The sequence below is a fragment of the Homo sapiens genome, chromosome 1 (genome assembly GCF_000001405.40).
Source record: "Homo sapiens chromosome 1, GRCh38.p14 Primary Assembly".
Taxonomy (NCBI): domain Eukaryota; kingdom Metazoa; phylum Chordata; class Mammalia; order Primates; family Hominidae; genus Homo; species Homo sapiens.
In genome coordinates, this window is record NC_000001.11 from 200,153,679 (window position 1) to 200,177,842 (window position 24,164).

Below are 24,164 nucleotides of genomic sequence, written 5' to 3' on the forward strand. Positions count from 1 at the left end.
AATGCATTTTAAGCAGGAATTGAAAATGTACTAAGAATGAGACAATAATGTATGAGCAAGTACTTACTTTGTTTCTTACTTTAGGTAAGAAAAAATAAAAGGAAGGAGGAAAGGTATGGAGGGGGAGATAGAGGGATGGAGGGAAAAGAAAAGGAAAGAGAAGTAGATAGAAAATCAAACACAGATGAAAGCAAAGACAATTATGATTATAATTATTTCATTCCCTAATCATGTAAGATTTGAATTTTCTAATTAAGAAAAAAGAACAAAATTAGTTCATATGTCAAAAAGAGGATTCTAAAATTGCACTGACATAAATGTTATTCTGTGATTCAGTTGCATTCTTAAATTGGTGTGTTATTTATGCAAATTATGGTAAGAAAAATAATTTTGGATATTTTTGTTTTACAAATATATTTTTCACTTTCACCACATTATTTCCAGAAGTATCTTTCCTTCCACAGGGGTTCCCTGTCTGCTCTTGCTTCCTCCAGCTCCTCAATATATGTACCTTTCAGGGTTGTTTCAGCAGTCCTGAAGTTGTGTGTGTGTGTAAGCATGATTAAGAGTACTTTTGTGGGAGTGTGCTATTGCCAGCCTCACAGATGGTGTTATTTCCTGTGTTAGACTTCCTACTTACTGATAGCTGGGCTCACACTTGACATCCTCTCTTAACTGCCTCTAGACCAAAACATGCAAAGTCTTGCAGTGTGGGAGGGAACCTGTGGCTGTGCATTGGGTTCAGTTGATAACAATAATCACCAGCCCTGATGAGTCACCAGAGAGCAATGGGGTGATACTCAAGTACCAGAGAGATGGTGGTGGTCTCTGGTGGCCCCACCACTGTCCACCACTTGCAAGTAGATAAACTGGTCATTAAAGGAGCTGTGGAGAGCCAGATGCAGTGGCACATGCCTGTAGCCCCAGCTACTGCAGAGGCTGAGGCAGGAGGAACACACAAGGCCAAGAGTTTGAATCTGACCTGGGCAACATAGTGAGACCCCTATCTTTAAAAATAAAGAAATAAGTAAATTTTTAAAAAGAAAGGCATTATGAGAGTTTCAGCAGAACATTTAGGAAGGGTCTTCTAGAGATAATGATGGACAAGTCAGTAAGCTGCTTGTTCACACACTAATGTCCAGTTCATGTTGACTGCTATCTACCCACGTCTTCTCTTCTGGCACCTGCCTTAGTGGCTGGAAGCTCTCTCAGAAGCTTAAAAAGATGCTTTTATTTTACCTACCCAACAAGGTTTCTACGCATTCCAGCCTCCAAGGAGGGGTGGTTCCCCTTTGTGAACTGAGATTTAGGAATATCTATGTTTACAACTCCGGGACTAAGATTCAATAAAGCTTCAGGAGGGTGGAAGTGCAGCTTGTGAGGGCAAAACTTTAGAATCCAGTGGACTTCTTAAGGTCATCTGAACAGTGAGAGTAAGTACTAGGCTCTTATCCCACTTCCACCACCAACCAATGCAGAAGTGGGATTAAGATTGATAATCCTGAGATAGCATTAAATGTTTTGATACAGGCATGCAATCCATAATAATCACATCAGATAAACAGTTGTTCTGTGCACACAATCTAACATTTATGCATTTTTTCTTTAAAAAACCTTTCTGCATCCAAATGGCACATTCATTAAGTTTAAAATGAAGCACAAAAGATAGAGATAAAATGAAGCAACTCTATAATTATATAAATTATAAATCTTACTGTAATAATTATACAGTAGACTTGGAGAAAGACAGGCCTTTCAAGAATTGGTTTTTAGAGATGTGTCTAATGCCTTAAAGAAGTGTTTGCTTTAAAATCTTGAAAAAGCCTCATGTAGAAGTGAGATGTTGTAAAGTCATCATTGGCTTTGGCCACTGCCAGGTCGACTACCAGTTTGCTATTTGTGATGTATTTCACTATTTTGGAACTTACAAAGCTATTCCTGATTTCCTTCTGTTAATGGAGGATTAATGACAATGCTGAATCCACAGATAATAATAAAAAAATTTTTTTTTTTTTTGGACAGTCTCACTCTGTCACCCAGGCTGGAGTGCAATGGTGCGATCTTGGCTCACTGCAACCTCCACCTTTTGGGTTCAAGCGATTCTCCTGCCTCAGCCTCCCAAGTAGCTGGGATTGCAGGTGCCAGCCACCATGCCCAGCTAATTTTTGTATTTTTAGTAGAGACGGGGTTCCGCCATGTTGGCCAGGCTGGTCTCGAACTCCTGACCTCAAGTGATCCACCCGCTTAGTCTCCCCAAGTGCTGGGATTACAGAGGTGAGCCACCGCGCCTGGCCCAAAAATCAAATTTTCAACAGTTACTTAAATCCACTACTTCCCAAGATGAAAGCTTTATTACCAACTGAAACTTAGAGAACTATGAGTGGTCGTGGGCTGCCTCTGAACTTGCTGTGGGTATATTTACTGAGCCACCATGGGGGTCATGTGAAGAGTCTAGGGTTTTGTTTTACATCCTTAACACTTCAGTTTTGAAAATCCCTATAAGACAGTAATAGTTCTATAGGGTAAACTCCAAAGAGGGCTTCTGTAGGGGGCATAGGAGTGGCACCCACAGTTGTGGGAACGTCAGCAAACCTGCATCCTCCCTCAGGGGAGAGGTCAGAGCAACTCAGAATATTATGACTACTGAAACAACTTTTTGACTTCACGATGCTGCAAAGCAATCCACATCCAGTAGAAACCATACTTCAAGTACCCATACAACCATTCTGGTTTTTCTGAGACGGAGTCTCACTCTGTCACCCAGGCTGGAGTGCAGTGGCGTGATCTCTGCTCACTGCAACTTCTGCCTCCCGGGTTCAAGCAATTCTCCTGCCTCAGCCTCCCAAGTAGCTGGGATTACAGGTGCCCCCCCACCACACCCGGCTAATTTTTGTATTTTTAGTAGAGAGGGTGTTTCACCATCTTGACCAGGCTGGTCTTGAACTCCTGACCTCGTGATCCACCCGCCTCGGCCTCCCAAAGTGCTGGGATTACAGGTGTGAGCCACCGCACCTGGCCCATTCTGTTTTTTAGTTTCAGTACAGTATTCAATAAATTACATGAGATACTCAACACTTTATTATAAAATAAGTTTTTGGTTAGATGATTTTGTCCAACTGTGGGCTAATGTAAGTATTCTGAGCACATTTAAGGCAGGCTAGGCTAAGCTATGATGTTCAGAAGGTTAGGTGTAGTAAATGAATTTGTGATAATATTTTCAACTTACGATGGGCTTATTGAGACATAACCCCATCGTAAGTTGGAGCATCTATATTGCCGACATCTTAACAGAGCCGCTCTCTGTATATGCTGACTGATACATTAGGCTTGGGATAAATCATATCTGACCTTTCCTTATAATAGCACTGGGTGGACTTCAAAGGTGGAAGAGATATTTCTTGTTCAATTAAGTCATCATTGCAGAAAGATGAAACAGATGATACTTTATAAGCCAGGCACTGTCCTACCTTGTGGTAATTCCTATTAAAACACATTTAAAAGATTAGGAAACTGAAACTTAGAGCAATTTACTAATTTCAATGTCTTATGGCCAGTGCAGTGTTCACGGATTTAAAATCACTTCAATGCAAGTATCAATAATTCTGCTAAATAATCAGGAGTTGACTATAATTAATCTGCAAAAACCAAACAATTTTCCCCACTTGAATTAATGATTTCTGGGTGTGAAAGGGAATGGTCACCACATAGTCTTAGTTTCCTTCCATGCAAACCTTAGAATTGAGCATAGCACTTACGAAACCAATATGATCAGATAATAAGATATCTTACTATTATCACTGTCTTAGCAAAATCTGTCATTACACTGAAAAAAAAATAGGATAGCTTCTTTTGCAAATGTTTCAAGCTCCAAAAGTTCTTAGAATAATCTTTCTTGTTATTTTCTCTGCCACATGGTTACACAAATACAAAACAAATTGGAAATATGGATTTTCTGTCTTTCATATACAAATACATATCCCTGAGCAATTGAATGAATTATTAATTTGTTTTGTCCAAAAATGGATAAGTATTTGGCTTTAATGATCTTGTTAGGCAACTAGTTTCCCTTCCCTTATAGTTCTCAACTCCAGAGACCCTCTCTTTTCATTTTTCAAGCAAATAATTCAGAATCAGTGTTGATCCACTGCATGATTTTTCCCCCTTCATTTCAACCTCTGATCTTACTGAGCAGAATTTTAATAGCTAAGGGAAATGATGTAATAATAAGTAACAAGTATATCTAGCTCTTAAAGAGTAGCTTTAATTTAACTCTACAAACTCATAAAATATTGGATATTTAGAATGAATGTAGATAGTAACAGTTCTCATATGGGCATAAAATTGCAAGAATTTTACTGATTGTGATGTATTACTTTTAGCACAAATAGAATGTACCAAGTACAATAAACTTCACTAATTCAGGACATTTCAACTTGGCAACAAAAAGCTCAATTTATATGTACTTAAAGAAATGCAATTTTAGTAACCTCAGTCTAATGCTTAATTAAAGTAACATGTTAACACAGTGGGGCACAATTAAAAAGGAGTTGGGAGCATCAGCTATAATATTCAAATACCTAGTTTTTTTCCAATCCAATTAATCTATTTTGTGTGTCTGTCTCAGAAAGGATAGTACCAGACCTGCCAAAGGTGTTGGCGGGAGTGAGATAAAGTAGATGCAAGGGGTTTAATAAAAATTCAAAGAATGACATAAATATAAAGTATTATTCTCAGAGATTACAATTCACAATTAGCCTGCATTTTATAAAATACCTCTAAAACATCTTCAACATTTAAAAATTGGATGTTAAAATTGGTGATACATTAATAATACTCTTCATTCCTTGAATTTCTGATTCTGTTGCTGACTTTAGATAGAATTTATTTTTCATCAGTTACATACTCAAAGGCTAAAACAGGAAGGCATTCTTTTTTGAGACAAAGTCTCACTATGTCACCCAGGCTGGAGTGCAGTGGCGTGATCTCAGCTCTCTGCAACCTCCACAGAAAGGCATTCTTTAAACTTCTTATCCAAAATAAACCCAAATACAATTTCCGAAGTAGCATAGAGTTCAAGTTGCTGAGTCTTACCTAGTGAACCATCAGCCAACACTGTAGAACATCATGGTGCTGCCATATAGTGTATTTCTTGCTGTTAGGAAAGCAAAATTCCCTATCCTATTCTGCATTCTGGTATTGACCTGACCTTAATATGTTTGATTCTTTTTTTTTTTTTCCTAATAGGGACAGGGTCTCTGTCACCCAGGCTAGAATGGCCCGATCACAGTTCATTGCAACCTCAAACTCCTGGGCTTAAGCAATCCCCCCGCCTCAGACTCCTGAGAAGCTGCATGCCACCACACCCAGCTATTTTTTTTTTTAATTTTTAAATTTTTTGTCAAAATGGGATCTCACTATATCAGACTGGTCTCCAACTCCTGGCCTGAAGCAATCCTCCTGCCTCAGCTTCCCAAAGTGCTAGGATTACGGGTGTGAGCCACTTACTGTGTCTGGCCATGTATTTGATTCTTTTAAAATCATGAATACTTGTTCTTTCAAACAACAAATATATTATAGTCATATCTTGGTTTCCAATTTCTGTTTAAATTAACAAGATGAGAATTGAGGCCCAGGGAATCAGAGGTTCTCCAGATGTTTCCCTTCATTCACATCTAATCCTACCCCTCCACAGGAGGTATGAAACCAACTCATTGCAAAGATGTCACCCAGGGCCACATCACCCAGGGATACTGGGGTTGGGCGAGAGCATAACGGGACAGTAGAGACCTCACCTAACTTTGCCTTCGTGCTTGAGCACTAAGGTCAAGCAAACGTTTTATGAAGTTTCCTGCCCAGTCAACTGCTGAGTAATATACATTATACCAAATAAACTGGTTATTTTGTAGAGATTGTTGAATGCTTTCGTTCAACATTTTCATTTTGAAAAGATTTTTTAAATTATTTATTATTATTATTATTATTATTATTTTTGAGACAGAGTCTCGCTCTGTCCTCTAGGCTGGAGTGCAATGGTGCCATCTCGGCTCACTGCAACCTCCACCTCCCAGGTTTAAGTGATTCTCATGCCCTAGCCTTCCAAGTAGCTGGAATTACAGGCGCGAGCCACCAGCACCCGGCTAATTTTTGTATTTTTAGTAAAGACGGGGTTTCACCATGTTGCCCAAGCTGGTCTCGAACTCCTGACCTCAGGTAATCCTCCCGCCTCAGCCTCCCAAAGTGCTGGGATTAGAGGCATAAGCCACCATGCCTGGTCTGAGAAGATTTTTTTAAGAGTGTTCTGCTGCTCTTTAGTTTCATGTAAACTTATTTTCCCCATGGCACCCTCCTCACTGTCATCCATGTCCCTTTTCTGCGTGAGCTGGTATCGCTTGCTACCCTCTAAGACCTAGGGGATAGAAAACAATGGGCTCTAGCCTGCCTTCTGCAGGGAGCAAAGCCTAGAAACAGGAAGCTGCTACAAGCAATCCCAACTGCACTGTGTCCATGGAGTATCATGAATAGTTTACACGAAGAGGATTTCTTTAAAATGCTGAATTATGAAGGAGTATTGATTGTGTGAGTAGAAATATCTAGAAGACTACATCTTTTGTCTTCTAGTCTAATGCTCTGACATGGAGAAGTGTTTCCAGTCAACGGTTTATTCTGAAGATAGCACCTTGTCCACTAAATGCACATTACATTCTCAAATTTACCTTTTTAAAGATTCTCTTTGAAATAATCTCTCCAAAAGTCAGTAAGAAACATGTCGAGCACTACCAAAGCTGAGAAAGTGGAGCTGAATCGGGCTCTTAGCCTCACTCACACAAAATAATATTTTAATTGGCTAAGCTAATATTTGATCCAAGTTCATAAAAGTTTGAAATCAAATAATTAAATGCAAATACAGTCTTCATCCCAAAGACGATAAGAATGCCTTTAAGCTAATATTTTTAACAAGAACTGTTCCACAGCGCTCTCTTGTAAATTTTATCATACCTGAGGCAGTTTTCCTCATTCGATTAGCTGGAAAGCTGAATTTATCCCGAGGCAAACCAGACATCTAGTATGGGCTAAATTCAACAACTGGAGCTTAAATTTGGCTTAATATATCCCCACTTGGATCTGCCTGTTTAATTCTCTTTCATATGATAACGTTGGTTTATTCATAGTCTTGACTTGCCACCTGAACAAACTGAACCTCATATCTTATTCTAAGAGAATAAAACTTTGCAAAAACCACCAAAGTTTCTGAATGGAAATCAAATACAAAGTGATGCTCAAAAACTGTTTCAGGACGTGAGTACAAAAAAAAAAAAATAGTGAAGAGGTTTTCTCTGAGGGAGGGCTGCTCTTTACGAATGTGGATGTTTCCTATGCTTTGGGAGCAGATGGTCTTTAGCAGGATAAGGACTAAGACCTCCAAGACCAGCCAAGGCAGCTGCAATTGTGTCTCAAGCTTGAAATTCTGCATGCTACCTATTTTATCAAACACCGTATGTATTTGGCCTTATTGTTAAATCTATTTTAAATACAACTTTATTTGAGGTTTAGGGGCAAACTAGGAAATTGCTTCATCCTATATCCCTTTAAATTCTGTTTCCTGGCTCAGAATATCCCATCGATTTCCAGCCAGAGGCCTTATTTTTCTTTGATTTTCCGTATATTTTAATGTAGTTTTCACTATCATCTGATATGCAGAAGTTGATACAATGTACGATCTGTTTCATAAACCCCTTTAGTATAGCATTCTGTCCTCATTTTTATCCCTAAGAATTCTAGAATGCAAATTGCAAATGTGTATACAGAGGGAAAATGGAAGTGTTCTATGCCCGTGATGTGGTCCCTAACACAGCTCACAGCCCCAAAATACAGGCTTCCTGAAAATACTCAGATTACCACTTCACAACATCAAACATATCAAATGGTTTTCCTTCTACTCATTGAGCTCAATTACTTCAATTTTGAATCAAATTACACTTTTTCTAGAGACACATTATAGGAAAAGAGCTTTGTTATATTTGAAATTGGTTAGGAATTTAACAAGGTGAGGAACTTTAAAATTGCTTAAGAGTCTAATAGCTGGGGGTATTGATACATAGAAAGTGCTCAATATATTTTTATTGAATTAATTTGCATATGCTTTGTATTCATGGGCACTGAATACAAATTAGCCAATTCAATAATAAATGCATTGGTTGTCTTTTATGTGTGTGGTGCTATACCTGTGTGGTGTAGGAAATAAGAAACATAAGTCAGAATCTCTGCCTTCTGAGAGAATGCAATCTAGCAGGAGAGGCAAGGCATAAACCAGTAACCGGAGAATCCAGAAAAGCTTGCCTGGGAAGATGCAATTGCAAATATGTGGAAGATGTTCCACAGACAAGCAAGCAAGAAGACTGGCGTGTGAAACAAAACGGATTCTCTTATTCGACAAATGTGAACTGAGCTCCTCCTTTGTCCAGACATTATGCTAGGCCTGGGAAAGGTTATAATTAACAAGAGAGACATATCCCTGTCCTCATAATTGACAGTGAAATTACCATGTAATACCCAATGCCCTGCATGATGGGCAAATAGAGTGTGCTGTAGACTCACAGCAGAGAGGACTTCAAGGAGGCTTCCTGGACGTAATGATATCTGCGCTGAGGCCCAGGAGATTGGTCAAAATTATCCAAATAAAGGTTAGGGGAAGAAAGTTCCAGGTACTGGCCAGGCACATTCAAGAAACTGAAAGAAGTTGGTGGGTGGGGTGAAATAAAACGGGATAGATAAACAGGCCAGATAAATGTGTTTAATCTTTAACCCAGGGTAGTGGGGTGCCATTGAATGATTTTAAGCAGAGGGAACTAGAGGACATAATTGGATTCACATTTAAAGTTATCACTCATGCTGTTGTGAGGAAAATGCATTTGGAGGCGGGGACAATATTGGAGGAATCAGTTATAAGGAACAGAGGCGAGTTACGGTTGCAGCAATGGAGAATAAAGGACAGATTCAAGACGCAATTAGAAAGCAGAGGCAGCAACTCGGTGATGGCTGGATTGGAAAAGAAGAGGAGAGGGAGGAGTCATGAATGAATCTGGGTCTCAGGCTTGAAATCCCAGGTAGATATTGGGTAACGGGATGGATTCTTAGTCCAATCATTGGTATAAGAAAAGCAGGAGAAGGAGCAGGTTTAGAAAGCCAGACAGATTGAGCTACATTTTAGACACTGAGTTTGAGATGTCCCCTGGCTATCAGGTAGAGACATCTAGTAAATAGTAAACAGTCATATGTACAGAACCAAATAAAGTTATATGCTGCAGTCTTCCACATGGGTCACTGAGTGAGCTGGTGAAAGCATTGAACACACTGAAATAAAATGTTCAACACATGGAAAAGTCCAAAGGATTTGAGAAAAACAAGCAGGCTTGGCACTACAAGCCAAAGCACCCAGCCAAAAAGTCCTCTTTGAATCCATTTCCCAAGAAAGTACAATCTATAATGGAGTTTGTGCTTTTCACTTGCTGTTATAAAACAATTCTACACAAAATAAAAATAAAGTTGGCCATGAATTTGATATGGAAGAATAGCAGCATGTCAAAGGCAAAAAAAAAAAAAAAGAAGAAGAAAGAAAAGAAAAAAAGAAAAATGTTGGTTTAGGGCAAGAATTTAAACAAAAAAGCTTATTCTCATATTTCCTGAGGATCTCCTCTGTGCTGAGCACTGGCCAGGCACTAGGAATACAGCTGCACATAAGACCAAGTCTCTGCCTACACGGCTTTCATTCTAGCATTCTAGTGGGGGTGACGGGCAATTTTGTTTATTGTTTTTTTTTTTTTGAGACAAGATCTCACTCTGTTTCCCAGGCTGGAGTGCAGTGGCACTATCTTGCTTCACTGCAGCCCCAACTTCCTGGGATCAAGTGATTCTCCCACCTCAGCCTCCCAAGTAGCTGAGACTATAGGCGCAGACCATCACACTCACTAATTTTTGTATTTTTGTAGAGACAGGGTTTCTCCATGTTGGCCAGGCTGGTCTTGAACTCCTGGGGTCAAGAGATCCTCCAGCCTTGGCCTGCCAAAGTGCTGGGATTACAAGCGTGAGCCACTGCACCCAGCTTGGCAGTTTTTAAAATTAGACAAATGTATGCATAATGTAAGGTCAGTCATGAACAAGCAATAATAAGAACACATCATTTAGGGATATAAGAAAACAGGTGATATTGTTTGGATCCTTGTCCCTGCCCAAATCTCATGTCGAACTGTAATCCCCAATGCTGGAGGTGGGGCCTGGTAGGATGTCTTTGGATCATGGGGTCATGATCCAAAACACCAGGTCCCTCAGGGCCTGGTGTTGTCTTGGTGATAGTGAGTTCTTGCCAGATCTGGTAATTTAGAAATGTGTATCACCTCCCTACACATACTCTCTCTCTCTGGCTCCTGCCTTCACCATGTGATGTGCCTGCCCCACCCTCACCCGCCACCATGATTTTAATCTTCTTGAGACCTCCCCAGAAGCTGAGCAGATGCCAACACCATGCTTCCTGTAAAGCCTGCAGGTTCATGAGCCAATTAAACCTCTTTTCTTTATAAATTACCCAGTCTTAGGTATTTCTTTATAGCAGTGCAAGAACGGCCTAGTGGAAATACAGAATTCTGGATTATGATCACCTCTGGGGCATCAGGAATTCGTTCTTGGGAGGAACACACAGATAGCCTGAAGGGCTCTGACCATGTTCTGGTCTTCCTGATGAGTGGTGGATTCATAGGTATTCACTATACTATGTTTAAAAACTGACATATACATTACATTTAAAACATTAATTATAGTAAAATATGCACAATGTAAAATTTACCATCTTAACCACTTTTCCATAGATTTTAATAGACTTTTTTTTTTTTTTTTGAGACAGAGTCTTGCTCTGTTGTCCAGGCTTGAGTGCAGTGGCATGATCTCAGCTCACTGCAACCTCCACCTCGTGGGTTCAAGTGATTCTCCTGTCTCAGCCTCCTGAGTAGCTGGGATTACAGGTGCCAGCCACCACACCCGGCTAATTTTTGTATTTTTAGAAGAGATGGAGTTTCTACATGTTGGCCAGGCTGGTCTTAAACTCCTGACCTCAAGTGATCCACCCGCCTTGGCCTCTCAAAGTGCTAGGATTACAGGCATGAGTCACCGCACCTGGCCAACTTTATTTTTTAGAGCAGTTTTTTTTTTTTTTTTTTTTTTTTTTTAGACGGAGTCTTACTCTTGTCACCCAGGCTGGAGTGCAATGGCACAATCTCAGCTCACTGCAACCTCCAACTCCCGGATTCAAGTGATTCTCCTGCCTCAGCCTCCCGAGTAGCTGGGATTACAGGCATGCACCACCACACCCAGCTAATTTTTATATTTTTAGTAGAGACAGGGTTTCACCATGTTGACCAGGCTGGTCTCAAACTCCTGACCTCAGGTGATCTGCCCGCCTCGGCCTCCCAAAGTGCTGGGATTACAGGCGTGAACCACCGTGCCCAGCCCTGGAGTAGTTTTAAGTTCACCACAAAATTGAGCAAAAGGTACAGAGACTCCCCACATAACCCCTGCCCCGCTACTGTCAGCATTCCCCTACCAGCACAAGCCTCCCCTACTGTCAGCATTCCACACTGGAGTGAAACCTTTACAATGAATGCCGCTACATTGACACATCCTCATCACCCAAAGTCCGCTGTTCACATTAGGTAGGTAGGGCTCGCTGTTGATGTTGTACATTCTATGGATTTGGACACACGTAATGACATGTATCCACCATTACAGTATCATACAGAGTAGTGTCACTGCCCTAGAAGTCCTCTGTGCTCTGCCCAGTCATCCCTCCTTCTACCAACTACTGGCAACCACCCATCTTTTTATTGTCTCCATAGTTTTGTCTTTTCCAGAATGTCACACAGTTGGAATCATACAATATAGAGCCTTTTCAAAGTGGCTTCTTTCATTTAATAATACACATTTACGTTTCCTCCATGTCTTTTCATGGGCCAACAGCTCGTTTCATTTTAGTGTTGTGCAATATTTCATGGTCTGGATACACCACAGTCTAACCATTCACATACTAAAGGACATTTTGGTTACTTTCAAGTTTGGGCAATTATGAATAAAGCTGCTATAAACATCCCTATGCATGTTTTTGTGCAGACATACATTTTCTTCATAACCATTTAAACGTATACAGTTCAGTAGTGTTAAGTTCATTTGCATTGTTATACAACCAATATCCAAAATTCTTATCTGACAAACTGAAACTCTATACCCATCAAACAACAACCTCTGTTCCTCATTCCTGCCAACCACCATTCTATTTTCTGTGCCTAACAAATTCATTTGACACAGGTGCCTCTAGGTGCCTCTTAAAAGTGGACTCATAAGCGTTTCCTTTTTGTGACTGGCTTATTTCACTTAGCATAATGTCTTCAGTGTGACAGAGACCAGAGTAGCCCACCATTCCCTTTGAACATTGGTATTGTACCACAAAATCAAGTGGTTTTCAAACATTTTTGATCCGTGGGAGCTTTTTTTCTAAACCATGTATACAAAAAAAGTCAAAAGTGGAGAAATTCTTATTTCTTAGCCTTGGCACCTGTACAATACAATTGGAAGGGGTTGGGGTGGGGCTTGTCCAGAGAAGTCCCCACAAAGGTGCCCCATAACACTAGACTGTACTCAGTCTCCATCGTGAGACTATTATTTATAATAGTGATTTGTGGCATTTAAGATGTGAAATTTCCTTCAAAATCTCAAACATTAAGTTGTGTTACATGCCAATTTAAATGTCAAATGTATATTATTTCATTCAAATTATCTGAAAACCATTCATTCGCATATCATGAGACCCTTTAGAAACGGAACTACTTGACTAACCAGCACTTCCCATTCTCCAACTCCAGCAAGTGACAGAAACTTGCAGGCATTGACACAATAGGGGAAAAAAAACTCCAGGACTTTAAAATAATGAGCCCTGCAGGGTTCAGATTCCTGCTCCGCCCGAGGGAAGTCTCATGGTAGAGCATACAAGGACTTTAGAGTGAGACAGGCCTGGTCATAAATTCAAGATCTTCTTACTAGCATTAAAATCCTAGATGAGCTTCTCAACCCCTTTAAGCCTCTGTTTTTCCACTGGGAAAATGATATTAATAATAACTTCCCCATAAGATTCTTAAGAGGATTAAATGAGAAAACATATGTTAAAGACACTTGTCACATTAATTGGTGTTTGGTAAATGTTATTTCCTCCCTCATTCTTACTGACTTTGAGATCCTGGGAAAGCCATTTAATCCCTCTGATTCTTAATTTCATCATACCTATAACACCTTCTAGGATAGAATCCTTTACAATTTAGCTTATCCTGAATCCCACTCCTAGGCCAGTTTTCTACATACTCTCACTAACTCCTGGGATTTCACCCATCACCCATCAGCTGTACACTGATAAGTCCCAAATCTATACCTCCAGCCCAAGCCTTTCTCTTGAGGTCTAGACCTTTATGTCTGGCCATTTCCTGGACATCTTCACCCAATATTCCATGTGCCCCTTAAATTCAACATGGCCATACCTAGACTCCTTAAATATTGCTTCTCAAATCTGCTGCTCCTCTTGGTGACAGCCACCACCTTCTTCCCTTAACAGACACCTGGAAGCCATCCAGGACCCTCACTCTTTCTCTCTGTCTCTCCTATTTTTTATTAACCCAAGGCCAGCAAACCCTGTTGCATCAACCATCTTGATGCCTTTCAAGTCCCTCCCCACCTCCTTGGCCGCCGTATTTCTCATCTGTGTTCCTGCAGCAGGATCCTGGCTGGTCTCCCTCCATGAGCCTGCTCTCCCCTCACCCTCCTGCACACACTAGTCCCTTCTACACACTTCTGGCAGAATGCTTTCTTTAAATCAGAAAGCTGACCATTTCCCTCTTTCCTAAAACCATTCAGTGTTTCTGCCTTGCTTTTGGAACAAAATCCAGACCATCTGACATGCAGCACTCTTCACAGTCTTAAACCTTAGGGCCCATCTTCATCTTGCCCACCTATTCCTTCTCCACAAAGGCTGAGCTGTTTAACAGTGTACCAAAGACCTCTCTGTTCTTTCCTTCTCTAGGGTTTGTATATAGACCACTGTCTGCTAGGATGTGCGTTCTCTTCCACGCGTTGCTCAGCTCATTCTAACTCATCTTTCAAAACTCCTCAGGTGTCACCTTCCCCAGGGACCCCTCTTTTCTCTTGAACCCTGTGTTAGCTGCCCATCCTGTAAGGGCACTGCTTATCTGTATCACATTAATTGAGCTACTGTACACAGAGACTGTGCCTTTTATTTCCATATCTCCAACACCCAGACCAGAGCTGTTAAGACTGAATGAATAAATGAATGAATGAATGAATGAATGTGTATACATTGTGTATACACGAAGGTATGAAATAATAAATAAAGCATGTTAAGAATGTTTTGTAAACTACAAAGCACCAATCAGTTGTAAGGGCCTGTTATTTCTGTGTACATATATAGTATATACACTTTATATCTACTTTTTTTTTTTTTTTTTAAGAGACAGGGTCTCACTCTGTTGCCCAGGCTGGAGTGCAGTGGCACAATTACAGCCTACTGTACTTGAACTCCTGGGCTCAAATGATGCTCCTACTTCAGCCTCTCAAGTAGCTGAGACTACAGGCACACACCACCACATCCAGCCAACTTTTTATTTTTATTTTTAGGGGGAGACAAGGGTCTTGCTGTGGTGCCTAGGCTGGTCTCAAACTCCTGGGCTGAAGCAATCCTCCATTTTTGTAGACAGCTCCTGCCAAGGGCAGCATTTTCTTATTATTAATTTGCCTATGAAAGCACAAAATTATACATTCTAGTTGGTAAAAATAACTCTTGGGTTAGTGTGTGTGCATGTGTGTGTGTGTACACACCTATATTATTCTAAGGGACTTATGGGAATGAATTTAAAATCTTGAGTTTCAGATATTGCTGGAAACTGGAGACAGAATCTCAGTTTAGGTGTCAGCACCAAAATTATCCTGCCCTCCCCTCCCCAATCCCTAAACAGCCCTGATTTCTTTTTAAAAGTGAACTTTGTTCGTATGAAAAGAACGAACATGTTCTGCAACTTCCAGAAGTTCTTACAAAATTAGTTATGCAGATTATCCATATTTAGCCCTTTAAAAAATAATTTTGAACATTAGCTCCTTACAGAAAATCTATTTTCTTTCTCCTTTTCTAGAGGAAAGGGCCTTCTGAGGGCAAATCGTGTGACAGTTTATAGATTGTCATCTCTCTAAAGACCTCAAGGAAAAGAAGTATTTTCTATGTGCAAAACGGTACCTCTTTTTTCCACCTTTATGTCCTTTAAAAGATTAGATAAACCAGCTCGCACCTGTAATTAATCCCAGATAACTCCCAGTTACTGGGACCGGGAGTAGCTGAGGCCAGAGGATCGCTCAAGCCCAGGAGTTCAAGGCTACAGTGAGCTACGATGTCACCACTGCTTTTCTGCCTGGGTGACAGAACGAGACTCTGTCCCTATTTATTAAAAAAAAATCAGACAATAATATTAGTAATTTTTAAAAAATAAAAAATATTTAAAATCTTTAAAAAGACAAAAAAGACTAAGGAATTTTTTCCCACTTTTGAAAAATTAACAAAGATAATTACCTTATCAGCAAAAGTCAACACACTCCATGTGAGCCTCACAGCCCCCAGCCCCCTGGCTCAGCAGAGGACCCATTTCTGAAAAAGTGTGTTGAATGACAAGGTTTATAGGCTGCACCATTATGGCAGCTACCAGGGAGGCAGAGAAGAGTATCTTCCTCTTCAGAGAGAGCCTGAATGTTGTGTGTGACTGAAAAGTCAGTACTATAATATATTCAAGAAGACCTAAGGGTTTACTTTCCAATAAGGATGGAAAAAATCTGAGCACCCCACTGTGAGCTTATCGTAATGCTGCTTCATATAAAAAGTTGGTAATTAGTCCCTGAGTGAATAAAGTAGAATAGATGATAACAGATTGATACTAAGAGAAGCACAAAATGCTCTCGCCAGTCATCAAAATTTAAAGGCTATAGAGAAAGGGTTGGGGATGCCTCTGTCTGTTTACATACTATTTCCAACTCAGAATTTGTAATGATAGGGTTTATTAACTGGTGTTTTTAAATTGTATGAAAATGAAGCTTATATAAATTTCAAAGGAACGCACAGAGTGCCAAATGCAGGAGCCTTTGCAATCCAGCCTAAAATGCCACAGAAGAACTGGTGGAAATTTTTATCTCATATCCATCTCTTTTCCTCCAGCTGGGGGTCTTTTGCTAAAATCCAGATGTGGGACAATGCTATTTAATATGAGAACCAAACAGCAAATTTCAAAAACATGTATTTCTGGGAACTCCAGAACATGTAATCATTTGTCTAGATTTTGGTTTTTTTAATATAATTTAATATCAATTCACTTGTATATTTCTGTTGTTAGAGACTCCTGCTATAGATGAGTTCAGACTCCCAAGTTGCCAGCTACTATCCATTACTTAATATGGAATAGGACTTGATTTTTATTGGAGGGACATTCCAGAGAAAATGGAAATCAGGACGATTTCAGTGTTTACATTTGGGCCATAGCTTTGCATTAAACATGCTTTCCCTTTCCATCCCCAAGTTCTGAGAATTTAAATTTCTATTTATATGGGATTCATGTTTTAATTTTCATGAAAAAGTATGCATTTTCATCAAAACTAATTCCATGAGTACCGAGGAAACACACTTAAGTTTCTAAACTCTTCCTAAAAAGTAAATACAAGTGAACCACATAAATGAGTGAAAATTCCAGGTCTTCTGGGAGGTGTTATCATTTGTATTTTGGCACTTAATCTCTTCCATTGCTTTTAGGTCCTTGTGAACTATCTGTGAACTACCTCAATTACAGTGGAAAATCCAGGGTCTACCTGTCTGTCAGGTCCAGTCCGCAGCATCCCAGGGACTGATTCCAGTCCAAATGAGAACATAAGCACGTTTCCCTTAACACAAAACTGACCAGTGAAAATCCTCATTTGCAAAACATGTAAATTAGAACTTGATTATTCAGATCACAAAAGGATTCATCACAGGACTTTTTGAATAGAAAAGACTATTACATGTAAAGTACAGTATTTTATTTCAGGGAGAGATCCATTACATATATGCCAAATTTTTGAAAATCAGTTTCTAGTTAGAAAAAGGAAGGAAATTGGCTTGTGAAATAATTTAACAGGTCAAATTCACAATTGTATCAATCTTGGACAAATGCACCAATAATGTGAAGCAAGGAGTTACCGGTGTATTCCCTGGGGATGGCTGAACTAAAGCATATCCCTTATCCCCAGGAGCTTACGGTCTGCATAGGGAAACAGACAGTTAAATAGACAGAAGCCAGCATCAAGGCAGGCAGCAGAGCAATGATCCTGGAATGGCATGGTCAGTAAATGAGAGGAATTCACTCAGAACTTCTTCAGGATCATTGCCATGTGTATAGATGTAGAAACAAAATAGACATTCGGCAAGTAAGAATCTTTGGGACAATTAGCAGCATATGTTTTATTATTTCATGATAACATTCATCAAAATAGCTTAATGGGATAATTAACTCAGGCATGTGGATTCAATTCTGATCAGCTTTAGCAAAAAATAGTATATTTAGCCAAAATATGAGACACCTATATATTTTCCTGCCAGAAGGAAAATTGCACATATTTCCCAAGTTTTGGGGGAAAAGGGTGTCAGTTTGGACCAGTATTCATAGAAATTAACCATCGAGGCTGGACGCAGTAGCTCACGCCTGTAATCCCAGCACTTTGGGAGGCCAAGGTGGGTGGATCACTGGAAGTCAGGAATTTGAGACCACCCTAGTCAACATGGTGAAACCCCATCTCTACTAAAAATATAAAAATTAGCTGGGTGTGGTGACACAAGTCTGTAACCCCAGCTACTCAGGTGGCTGAGGCAGGAGGATTGCTTGAACTCAGGAGGTGGAGGTTGCAGTGAGCCGAGATCGCACCACTGCACTACAGCCTGGCAACAGAGCAAGACTCTGTCTCAAAATAAAAAAAAGAAAGAAGTTAACCATTGAATGCTGAGCTGAAGACTCTAAATTATCATTCTATAATAGTAAGTGGATAAACCAAAACTTATGATCTAGCCTTTGTTTTATGTTTGTTGGTAGTTTTCTTTCTTTTTGTTTTTCCTTAACAGAGCAGCATAGTTTATCACAGAATGTTAAAACTGGTTCTCAAAAAAATACAATTATCAAAAAAGGAAAGTTTCAAACAACTTTCTAAAAAGGGTATTCTTCATTTTTCTTACATTTTACATTCATTCTATGCAAATTTCTACATCCTCTCTATTAATCTCTGACTGTTACTAGCTTTGCTTGCTGGTGAGAGTATTTTTCACTGTAGCGTAAAATAATACTGCATTTCAAATTTTTAATAGTCATGTTTTAATCACTATAATGCAAAACAAATGTAGATTTTTCTATCATGTACCAAGGTAGGACATATTGAAGGTATTTCTGATTGTTTATATTTTGCAATTTTGAACCAAGTATGACTCTGGATACATAGCCATACTTATAAATATTTTTAAGTAACTTAAAATCATTTTTAAAATATATTAAATAAGACAGGTGGAATATGCTTTACTAACTGTAAAGTGCCGCATGGGTAAAATGTCCAGAGCACACCAATGTGGTTGCCAATTTAAATGCCACCGGAAGACTCAGAGCTCCTTATTGTGTAGTATTTATGTTTGTACAACTCATCAATGAATAATCAACTATGTTTGAGTCTGCCATCTCACTTTGAAAGAGATATGGTACCAACTCACTACATAACTATTTCAGTACTAATTCCTCACTGTTTTTAATTTGGGTCAGAGACTTGGGGATGGAAAGGGGAAGCATGTTTAATGCAAAGCTATGGCCCAAATGTAAACACTGAAATCGTCCTGAACACACTTCAACAGCGAATGTATGACAGCCCAGTGTAAAGCCATTTAGAAATAACAAGATGGACATGTACACATATGTAGGTTAAGTTCAACAGTATATAATGCCCAAAACAGTATATAGTGGGTATGAATTACTTGAACCGAGTTTAGTATCTTTATCCTTTTAGTCATAGTACTGTGTGGTTTTCTCCATATTCTCTTTCTTATTTATTTTTGTCCAATTAGAAAATAAAGCAGGGCAGGGTGGCTGCATCTGTTTACTTTCTGAGCATGGGTGTATGTAAACACACACACGTATCTGTCTATTTTTTCCAGAGGCTTCTATGTACACATCATATAAAAGTCATACTGTTAACATAAATCAACCCCAGAAGAGAAATTCCAGCATACCGTTTTCCCTTGCCTATTGTCTGTGTGTGTGTTTGTATGTCAGTCTGTCTTTTTTTATTCTGGCTTTCTCTCTTATTCAGTATTTATAAGGACCTTTAGGGCAGATGTCTAAAAACAACTGCATAGTCATCAGGAGTTAGGCGGAATGAAATGCCTTTGCTCATCTTCTCTACATGAGTGACCAGAAGAAAAAAAAGAAACACAGAGTATCAGACTTTAGAAACTACATGCAGGTTAAAGGGCACTGACCATCCTGGCTTGTGTTCTGCCTAAAGGACAAGGCTCTCATTTGATAAAGATCATTAGTCACCAAGATATATATTTTAGAGAGTTCCCAGTAGCGAATATTCTGTTGGCAGTCACTGGAGTGTACCAGATGGTTCATTAGCATAGGCTAGACAAGTCAAAGACTTTCAGAATCATTTAGAAAATGTCAAACAGAAACAAGAATCCTGTCACTTTTTATTAGAATTAACTACATCATACCCTGGACACAGATTTCACCTTGGGTCAGAAAAATTAATACAGAATTATATGAATTGTGTAATATACTGGGTTAAGATAGGTCTTTCTCCAGGGACTCATTTGCTGGCAATATATTAAGATCCCTCTACTTTAGGAATCCTCAATCCTTTCCTTTTGTAAGATATGAAAAGAGTTGACCTTGCTCAAAATCCACTGGTGTCTAATTGATTTGAGGTATATGCAGAATTTCAACAAGACATTCTTCTAAAGCTCTTTTGTGATCCTTTTCCCAGGAAGTTTGGTGAGTGGGGTTTACTGAATATTCAGCAGCATGTAAAGTATGTTTATGTCAAAAGGAAAATACATCCATTAATTGAACACATTGCTTTAGTAAACAGGAATTGAAATGCTATTGAAATGTTGCTTTTTTTTTTTTTTTTTTTAATGCAGATGTCAAAAACCTTGAAAACTTCCAGCTGGTAGAAGGTGTCCAGGAACAAGTCAATGCCGCCCTGCTGGACTACACAATGTGTAACTACCCGCAGCAGACAGAGAAATTTGGACAGCTACTTCTTCGACTACCCGAAATCCGGGCCATCAGTATGCAGGCTGAAGAATACCTCTACTACAAGCACCTGAACGGGGATGTGCCCTATAATAACCTTCTCATTGAAATGTTGCATGCCAAAAGAGCATAAGTTACAACCCCTAGGAGCTCTGCTTTCAAAACAAAAAGAGATTGGGGGAGTGGGGAGGGGGAAGAAGAACAGGAAGAAAAAAAGTACTCTGAACTGCTCCAAGTAACGCTAATTAAAAACTTGCTTTAAAGATATTGAATTTAAAAAGGCATAATAATCAAATACTTAATAGCAAATAAATGATGTATCAGGGTATTTGTATTGCAAACTGTGAATCAAAGGCTTCACAGCCCCAGAGGATTCCATATAAAAGACATTGTAATGGAGTGGATTGAACTCACAGATGGATACCAACACGGTCAGAAGAAAAACGGACAGAACGGTTCTTGTATATTTAAACTGATCTCCACTATGAAGAAATTTAGGAACTAATCTTATTAATTAGGCTTATACAGCGGGGGATTTGAGCTTACAGGATTCCTCCATGGTAAAGCTGAACTGAAACAATTCTCAAGAATGCATCAGCTGTACCTACAATAGCCCCTCCCTCTTCCTTTGAAGGCCCCAGCACCTCTGCCCTGTGGTCACCGAATCTGTACTAAGGACCTGTGTTCAGCCACACCCAGTGGTAGCTCCACCAAATCATGAACAGCCTAATTTTGAGTGTCTGTGTCTTAGACCTGCAAACAGCTAATAGGAAATTCTATTAATATGTTAGCTTGCCATTTTAAATATGTTCTGAGGGTTGTTTTGTCTCGTGTTCATGATGTTAAGAAAATGCAGGCAGTATCCCTCATCTTATGTAAGTGTTAATTAATATTAAGGGAAATGACTACAAACTTTCAAAGCAAATGCTCCATAGCTAAAGCAACTTAGACCTTATTTCTGCTACTGTTGCTGAAATGTGGCTTTGGCATTGTTGGATTTCATAAAAAATTTCTGGCAGGAAGTCTTGTTAGTATACATCAGTCTTTTTCATCATCCAAGTTTGTAGTTCATTTAAAAATACAACATTAAACACATTTTGCTAGGATGTCAAATAGTCACAGTTCTAAGTAGTTGGAAACAAAATTGACGCATGTTAATCTATGCAAAGAGAAAGGAAAGGATGAGGTGATGTATTGACTCAAGGTTCATTCTTGCTGCAATTGAACATCCTCAAGAGTTGGGATGGAAATGGTGATTTTTACATGTGTCCTGGAAAGATATTAAAGTAATTCAAATCTTCCCCAAAGGGGAAAGGAAGAGAGTGATACTGACCTTTTTAAGTCATAGACCAAAGTCTGCTGTAGAACAAATATGGGAGGACAAAGAATCGCAAATTCTTCAAATGACTATTATCAGTATTATTAACATGCGATGCCACAGGTATGAAAGTCTTGCCTTATTTCACAATTTTAAAAGGTAGCTGTGCAGATGTGGATCAACATTTGTTTAAAATAAAGTATTAATACTTTAAAGTCAAATAAGATATAGTGTTTACATTCTTTAGGTCCTGAGGGGCAGGGGGATCTGTGATATAACAAAATAGCAAAAGCGGTAATTTCCTTAATGTTATTTTTCTGATTGGTAATTATTTTTAACAGTACTTAATTATTCTATGTCGTGAGACACTAAAATCAAAAACGGGAATCTCATTTAGACTTTAATTTTTTTGAGATTATCGGCGGCACAATCACTTTGTAGAAACTGTAAAAAATAAAAGTATCTCCTAGTCCCTTAATTTTTTCATAAATATTTCTGGCTTTTGAGTAGTGTATTTATATTGTATATCATACTTTCAACTGTAGACAATTATGATGCTAATTTATTGTTTCTTGGTTTCACCTTTGTATAAGATATAGCCAAGACTGAAGAAACCAAATATATGTGTTTACTGTAGCATGTCTTCAAATTAGTGGAACTTAGTTCAGGGACATAGAAGAGTCTTAATGAATTAAAATCATTCACTTGATTAAATGTCTGTAAATCTTCATCATTCCTACTGTAGTTTATTTAATATCTATTGTAAATTATGTGACTTGTAGCTTCCTCTGGTTTTCAAGTAAACTCAACAAGGTGGAGTCTTACCTGGTTTTCCTTTCCAAGCATTGTAAATTGTATACCAAAGATATTAGTTATTACTTCTGTGTGTACAAAGAGGATTATTTTATTATGTTTATTAATCACCTCTAATACTCATCCACATGAAGGGTACACATTAGGTAAGCTGGGCGTTGACTCATGCGCAGTCTCAGTCACCCGTGTTATCTTCGTGGCTCAAAGGACAATGCAAAATCGCCGATCAGAGCTCATACCCAAAGCATTACAGAGAACAGCAGCATCATTGCCCTCCCCAGCTGAAAAACAAGTTGGCTAGAAGATACATGGAGAGGAATGGTGTGGTCAACAGTTAATGAAACGGTTCTATCATGCATGTGTAATGTGGATGGAGACAATTATAAGATTTGACTATAACTATTTGGAGGGTCTTTAACATTGCCAAAAAAACAAATATGTTGATTTTTATTTTATTTTATTTTTTATTTTAAGAGGCGGGATCTTGATCTCACATGTTGCCCAGGCTGGCCTTGAACTCCTGGGCTCAAGCATTCCTCCTGCCTCAGCCTCCCCCATAGCTGGGACTAGGGGTGCATGCCAGCATACCTGGCTACGTTGACTCTTAAAATCTATGTTCTCTTATTTTAAAGATACAGTGCTCCCCACTGAAAATTAAACCTAAAAAATGTCACATATTGGTATGTTGTTAACCTGGTAGATTAAATCATGAGAATGATTAGAAAGACGGGCAACACAGCGGGTTACATCCACACTGCTGATCACACCAACGACAGGAGCTGATAAGCAAGAAAGCGTCACAGCCAGCGTCTGTTCACCCAAGGTTGACAAGTGAAGTTTCTCTAATGTTGATTGTTAGCCGATTTGTAACCTGGCATTTACTTAGCAACTGCCTTATCAATTACAGGATTTGCCGGTAAAAGCAGACTCAAATATAAAGGTTTTTGGCTTAACTTGGTTTATTATAGTTGCTCTATGTTTGTAAACAGACAATCTCTAATGTCTGATTATTTGTATCACAGATCTGCAGCTGCCTTGGACTTGAATCCATGCAATGTTTAGAGTGTGAAGTCAGTTACTTGTTGATGTTTTCTTACTGTATCAATGAAATACATATTGTCATGTCAGTTCTTGCCAGGAACTTCTCAACAAAATGGAATTTTTTTTTTCAGTATTTCAATAAATATTGATATGCCCAGCCTGATAATTTTTAAAAGTTTTTATGTTGTCCTCATTCTATCGGATACTAAAGCTTCTAAATAAGAGACTTGACTAGGAGTGAAATCAAAAGAATCCCACAGGAATAGATACTTTTCCCTTTAGATAACTTCTAGAGTGGTTGGCTGTCCTTCCATGGATACCTGAAGCATTAAATTCAATCTGAGCATCATCTCTACATGTGAAACAAAGTATTTTATATCATTTACTGTTATAATCAATAAGCAGAAAAATCTTAATAGCATCTCACTTTTTTGTAGAGCTTATGTTGTCCTGATAACTTTCCCAAGTGCTTTCTTAATTCACTTGGTCCTCAGAACAGATCCAGGAGGTATTATTATTCTCATATTAAAGCCCCTTGCACAAAAGGATTTGATACACTAGTCAGAGGAGTAGCGGGAATTTGAACCTAGGCA

The 24,164-nt window shown here is 39.0% G+C and overlaps 1 protein-coding gene across 9 annotated transcripts in view; it reads left to right on the plus strand.

The window, feature by feature from the left end:
- NR5A2 (nuclear receptor subfamily 5 group A member 2) overlaps positions 1 to 23,737 on the plus strand; it is a 149,706-nt gene extending 125,969 nt beyond the window's left edge. For all 9 annotated transcript variants that reach the window (NM_205860.3, NM_003822.5, XM_047416753.1 and 6 more), the window contains one exon: positions 20,285 to 23,737. In NM_205860.3, the coding sequence (NP_995582.1) occupies positions 20,285 to 20,532 (248 nt within the window). In that variant the 3' untranslated portion in view covers positions 20,533 to 23,737. The remainder of the gene's footprint in view (positions 1 to 20,284) is intronic.